Raw genomic sequence first — 6,272 nt, forward strand, 5'->3', positions numbered from 1 at the left:
CAGGAGGCTGAGGCAGGAGAATCACTTGAACCCGGGAGGCAGAGGTTGCGGTGAGCCAAGATCCCGCCACTGCATTCCAGCCTGGCCGACAGAATGAGACTTTGTCTCAACAACAAAAAAAAGTAATTGACAAAATTCAGTTTTAAAAACTGGTTCGTCTATATAATTGCCTTGGCATTCATGGCCATCTAAGTGAAATGTATCTTAATGCTAGAGTCCTATGACAAACTGTACTTGATACATTGCAGCACTTTTCCTAAATCAGGAGCTCAGGTAAAATACAAGTGACAGAGATAGTCAAATTGGATTCCAAAATCACCAAAAACAATCTGTCTAAAAACTCAGGAGCTTCATGTGGTCCATGCACCTGTCAATACTCTAACTACAGGCTGAAGTTAAGCTTTGGATTCTGAGACTATACGGACAAACAAAATTTCTGTTCTCAAAGATTATATCAATCAATATTTGCATAAATTCTATGAAATGCTAAAATAATAAAAAACAAGAAATATCCATGCATCTTTATAGTTACATGTAACTTTTAAGGAAAAGAGAATAAGCCTTTGTTCTCCCATTTTCAGGGCTTTCTCTGTTTCACAAGCATATGAATTTTGGCTGATAATCTTACATCTTTCTTATAGTGACTCTTGGATTCACTTTTTTTTTTTTTTTTTTTTTTACTAACTCTTGTAAGACAAACAGCTCTGAACATAGTGTGGAAGATACCGTAATCTCCTTGAAGCTAAAAGATTGCTCAGAATTACACTAATATTTCTAAGAAGCATATATAGTAGTAACATTTCCAAAAAATATAGACCTTAACTAGTCTTCCTAAAAATTTCTGTGTTACTAGAAATTAAGTGGGGCAAGTTGGCAGATGACATGCCAAATGGAGTGATAATCCATTGGCATAATTCACTCAGGAAGTAGACAGGTGGGGCAATTATAAGTGCAAAGGTTAAAGATGCCCCACCCATTGATTACCTGAACCTGAACTTTCTTGATGGTGAGGTGCGGGGAGATGCTCATTCTGTGATGAATAATTAGCAAAAGGCTTAATGTGCAAAATTCCCTGGGAGAGATGGCACATTGGTTTTTATTCACACTAAGGAGAAAGTGGCTGAGGGAGAATAAACTTTTAAAATCAGGTTTTGGTAGGAAATAGAGGAGACAGGAGTAACCAGTGACTGCAATTGAGAGGGCAGGTGCAGTGGGGCACCCCAGATTGCATCTGCTCTATGACTGGGTCTTGGTTTTCCCTGATTACATGTTTTACACCACAGTGATTTATAAGCCAAAAGTAGGCCTTTCCATTTTGATCTCCAGTCTAATGGGGCAAGCAAATAAATACTCCTAAAAGTACTGTCTATGTAATTAACATTATTTTAGGTATTTCATTATGATTATAATTCTTAGGAATGAAAATAGTGTTTTACAAAAGCAGTTATGGACCTATCAATAGATGTGCTTCTCTTGATAACAGGAGAGCCCTCCCTGGGCTGACTTTAGAATAAGACTAGAGGTGACTCCTATGTGGATGTGCCCAGGGCAGCACCTGCTGTAGAGTTCATCCCACAGCATTGTGTGCTCACTTTCAGACAGAGCCTTACTCTGTTGCTCTGGCTGGAGTACAATGGCACAAACAAGACTCACTACAGCCTCAACATCCTGAGCTCAAGTGATCCTCCCACCACAGCCTCCCAAGTAGCTGGGACCACAGGTGCGTGCCACCACAACTAGCTATTTATTTTTTTTTCTTTTGGTAGAGACAGAGTCTCATTATGTTGGCCAGGCTGGTCTCGAACTCCCAGGCTCAAGCAATCCTTCCACCTTGGCCTTCCAAAGTGCTGGTATTTCAGGCATGAGCCACTGTGCCTGGCCTCATTTACTTTTTAATTGTTAAACTAGCTGTTTTATTTATTAGAAAATGTGATCCATTATCCAAACTTCATTCGGATTGAAGAGCACAAAACTCAGCATCAGATCTGGGTTTGAGACTTTTTTTCTCTCTGATTTTTTAAAAAGAAATAAAAACCCTACTACCATTTCTCTTACCTGCCCTAATCAGCTCATAGTTTTATTGGGAATGGCCATTCTGGTAAGACACAGTGGCAGAGGCATTCTTGACTTTGGTTTCGTTCTCAAAGCAATACTCCATGAGATAAAGCATATGAGCATGACTTTCAAACTAGAATGTAAAGTACCACACAAATGCTAGCTTCTCCCTCTCAGAAACAAAAAGAAATTGATAGTAATATTTATTTTAGTAGAGAGGATGAATGCCAATGACATTTTTATTTGAAATTTTATTATGAAAGGTAAAAATTTTTAAAGCACACATAGGGCATGTTTCAGGACAAGGAATCATCTCATATCCCTTAGTGGGACTGACTTTCCTCTCACATCTCCAAGCAAGGCAGTCTATGCCTTCCCAGACCTCTTGGGCCAACGAGGACAGAGATACTATCTCTACCTTCCCTGGGGCAAGTGGCCTCCTGCTCAGCAACCTGAAGGCCAACCAAGACCCTATCTTGGTGGAAACTCTTCCACATCTCCTATGAGTCATTACTCCAAAGGAAGGCACTATCCTGATTTCTAAAACCATCATTTTTCTCCCCCTGTTCTTGAACTTTACACAAATGAAATTATACAGGATTTATTCTTTGGATCTGCAATCTTTTACTTGATATTAGGTTTCTGAGATTCATCATGCCATTGTGTATGGCTCTCATTCACTCACTTTCATTGTTGGGTAGCATTGCATTGTGTGAACATATCACAATTTATCCATTTCACTATTGATGGACATTGTATTGTTTTCAGTTTGAAGCTGTTACAAACAATGCAGCTATAAGTATCCTTGTCTATACCTTTTGGTACACATATATACATTTTTCTATGGTGTTTGTAAATGTGAATAGACTTGCTAGATCATAGACTCTGAATGTATCCAATACAGACAATGCCAAAAGTTTTCTAAAGTGGTTTTACCAACTTTCTGAAATACCAAATTTACACTACCTCCAGCAGTATGTTTCTGGAATACCAAATTTACACTACCTCCTTCATGAATGACACTAGGTGAGCCTGAACATCTGCATTTACTTTTCTCTTAATATTACCCAGAGCTGGATTCTGTCGCTTGCAAATAAGAACTTTACAAGACAGCTGAAAAATGTGGAGAGAAGAATTACAGATTGAGAATAGCAAGAAGAAAGGCCCTAAGGCCATTATGTAACATCTTGTATTGACTTCTTGCCAAGCAGATACTGTATTCACATGTTTACACACACATACATCCCTAGATAGATGAGAGAGAGAGAGACAGAGAGAGAGAGAGAGACAGAGAGAGAGAGACAGAGAGACAGAGAGAGAGAGAGAGACAGACAGAGACAGAGACAGAGAGAAACAGACAGGTGGATAGCCAGAAATCATCTCAGTTAATCATTCTAACTTGCCAATTTTATGCAAGCTACTATGTTAGGCAAAACCCTATGAAACAGGTATGATTCACATTTATTTAGATTAGGAAACTCACATCTAATAAGTTCAAATAACTTAGTTAAGATCAACTACAAGTAGTGACAAAGGAAGGATTTAAATTAAACCCAAGATTGTCTGGCTCCAAAGACTCTGCTGTTCACCAATATACCACAATGATATAGATTATTTTTAAACCCAAGAAAGAGTTGATTTATTTATAAAGGGTATTTAGAGCATATTCTGTTAACTGTCAACAACTTCAAACATCACTAGCTATGTTCCAGGGTTATTTTTTTCCAGTGTCTGTGTGGAGCATCCTAGGCAAGAGGGTAGGTGTGTCATGAGAAAGATGGAACATTCCAGGGAGTGGAGTGCATGACAAATTGTTTGTGAATATTCTTCATTCACTGCCAGCTGCTGATACTGCATTCCAATTTAACTCAAAACAGTCTTAGGTAATAATGCTAACTAATAATCATAAACGATTTTGCATCCCTAACACATTACAGGTCAGAATGCTGCTAAGTCACAAGAAAACCATACATTTCTTCACCATCTACACTCAAGTCTTTTTTTTTTTAAAGATGCTGCTTTTCTCAGGGTGAGTGTAGAGTACAGGAGAAATATAATTTTGTTTGCTGTTATATTTTTATTTCATTCTCATAGTTAAATACAAAATTTGAATCAGCTTATCAAAATACTGTATAAATTTAACCTGTAGGAATTTTATATATTGTAGTATTGGTATATTTCAATTGGTTAGCTAGTGTGGAAACATGTTTGGCTTTGTTGCTGTTGTTATGTTGGTAATGATTTTTGATGTTTGATTGGCATAAAGTTTTACTGGTTCATGACCCCTGATAAGATTTTTTCCTTGGATGAGATCTCCCTCAATTCGCTTTTTAAGTTTCTATGATTTTAAAAACATAGATGACATAAAAAAGAAAAATTTTAAAACTTACTAGATTTGGAACACACTAAGGTCATTTTTGCATATCATGTAGCACCTATAAAGTCATGTTACATCAAAGGGCAACATTGGAATCCACCTGGAAATCAATAGTTACAACCCCTAAGAAAGGACTTCCCTCGGCCAAATAGGAAAGGGTAAAGTAGGGCAATAAGGAGAGTTTAAATATTTTCTTTTTGAAGCCTGTTTAATTACATTGTTTGATAAACCAATTCTATTTTGAAAGCCTCTCTCTAAAAATTACTATTGAGCGACAGTTACAGTATCATCTGTTGCCTGCTGCTTATAATTTACAAGTGATTGCTACATGTAAATTGTATAATTAATCAGCCTTAAAGAGAAGTGAAAACTGTGCCCTCCATCCAAATGCAAAGCTAATTTTTGGTGTTGGTACTTTCTATTTTTGCAGTTTAGGCTGATGTGAGTGTTTAGCAGCCACATGCACACCAGCTGCTACTTCCAGGAGTGCCACTTTAAGTCTTCAGAATGTGGGCAGCTGACTCCTTCATGAATGACACCAGGTGAGCCTGAATATCTTAATATACTTCATCCTCAGTCATATTCACAGGCAAGGAAATACCTTCCCACTGTCAGAGAAAGGCAGCCTCTTCTGGAGAAGGGCAGATACTCAGCGGATGCAAAGCCCAGTTGCGCAGCACCAGGAAAAAGTACACCCCAGTAATTCAAGTAACACTCTTTCCAATCCTCAATATTCTGAACGGACAGTCTACTCTTTTTGAGTGTCCCTAGCATTTAATTTATAATCATAATTTTAAAAAGATGATTTCTGAACCATGAAAATTCACTCAATAGCTAAAGACAGATTGAGGTAGAATTCAGCTCTCGATGGAGAACAATCCATTTAGGCTCTGAAATTAAAAAAAAAAAAAAAAAAGAAAGAAAAAAAAAACTCAGCTAAGAAACTCAGAGAATGAGTCAGCACTGTGGATCCGGAACCTGGTATTTAGGTGTCCTCACCGCCAAAGGTGTCTCCAACCTGGTATTTAGTTTCCCTGAATCAGCTACCTTCTAATTCCCATTCCCCAATGTATTGAATGATCCTCTTGACTTAAACTCTTAGAGAAAAGCTAAAAATACAAACAAGACATGACAACACAGCCATTATATTCTTCTTAGCATTCTCTTTCTAACTTTACAATTTATCTGTTAATATTAGTATACGCATATAAATAGTTTAAAAAATAAAAACAAAAGTTGATCCACTTTAATTTATTATTACATTTGGTCTATATCTGGACTCTACTTGACCTGATAAGAATTGAGAAGTTCTAGTACCAACCACCAAATAAATGAGAGTGTAACAGAAAGTATTATGACAGAATTCACAGAGTAAGGAAGAGTTATTTTACCAACTTTTACACAGGAGATTCCCCTGCTTTTGGCTGAACATGAACTCTGGTCTCTGTGAAACCTATTTGTTTTGCCTGAAAGTTGGAATCTAGCTAATGTCAATGTTAGTTTTACCATCAGTCAAGAATTTAGCTTAATATTAAACTTTATAATAAACTGAGAGGATTCACTTGCCTGCTGATTTTCTATGGGTGGCATCCACACATTTGAAATATAGCTAAGAATTATGTTAATTTAGTAAAAAACATGTTGCAGATGCAGCTGTTTATTTGCTTTTCATAGCCTATGATATCATTCCAATGCATGTGTCTTGATTTGGAAGGTCTGATGCACTCTGAGAGTGACTTTGATTTGAGAATAGGCTACACCCAAAGTAGCTGTAAGCTATGGCCATGCCCATTTGCTTCAATGTCCTAAAGTTAAATGTGTGTGTGCAAATAAAAGAAGG

The 6,272-nt window shown here is 37.2% G+C and overlaps 1 annotated feature.

Moving 5' to 3' along the window:
• Positions 5,755-6,049: an enhancer, noted in NCBI's record as "tiled region #9952; HepG2 Activating DNase matched - State 3:PromF". NCBI's record gives its function as "activates a minimal TATA promoter and a strong SV40 promoter by Sharpr-MPRA in HepG2 cells {active_cell/tissue: HepG2}" and the evidence as "EXISTENCE:reporter gene assay evidence [ECO:0000049][PMID:27701403]".

This window comes from Homo sapiens, chromosome 4 (assembly GCF_000001405.40).
Source record: "Homo sapiens chromosome 4, GRCh38.p14 Primary Assembly".
In the NCBI taxonomy this organism is placed as follows: domain Eukaryota; kingdom Metazoa; phylum Chordata; class Mammalia; order Primates; family Hominidae; genus Homo; species Homo sapiens.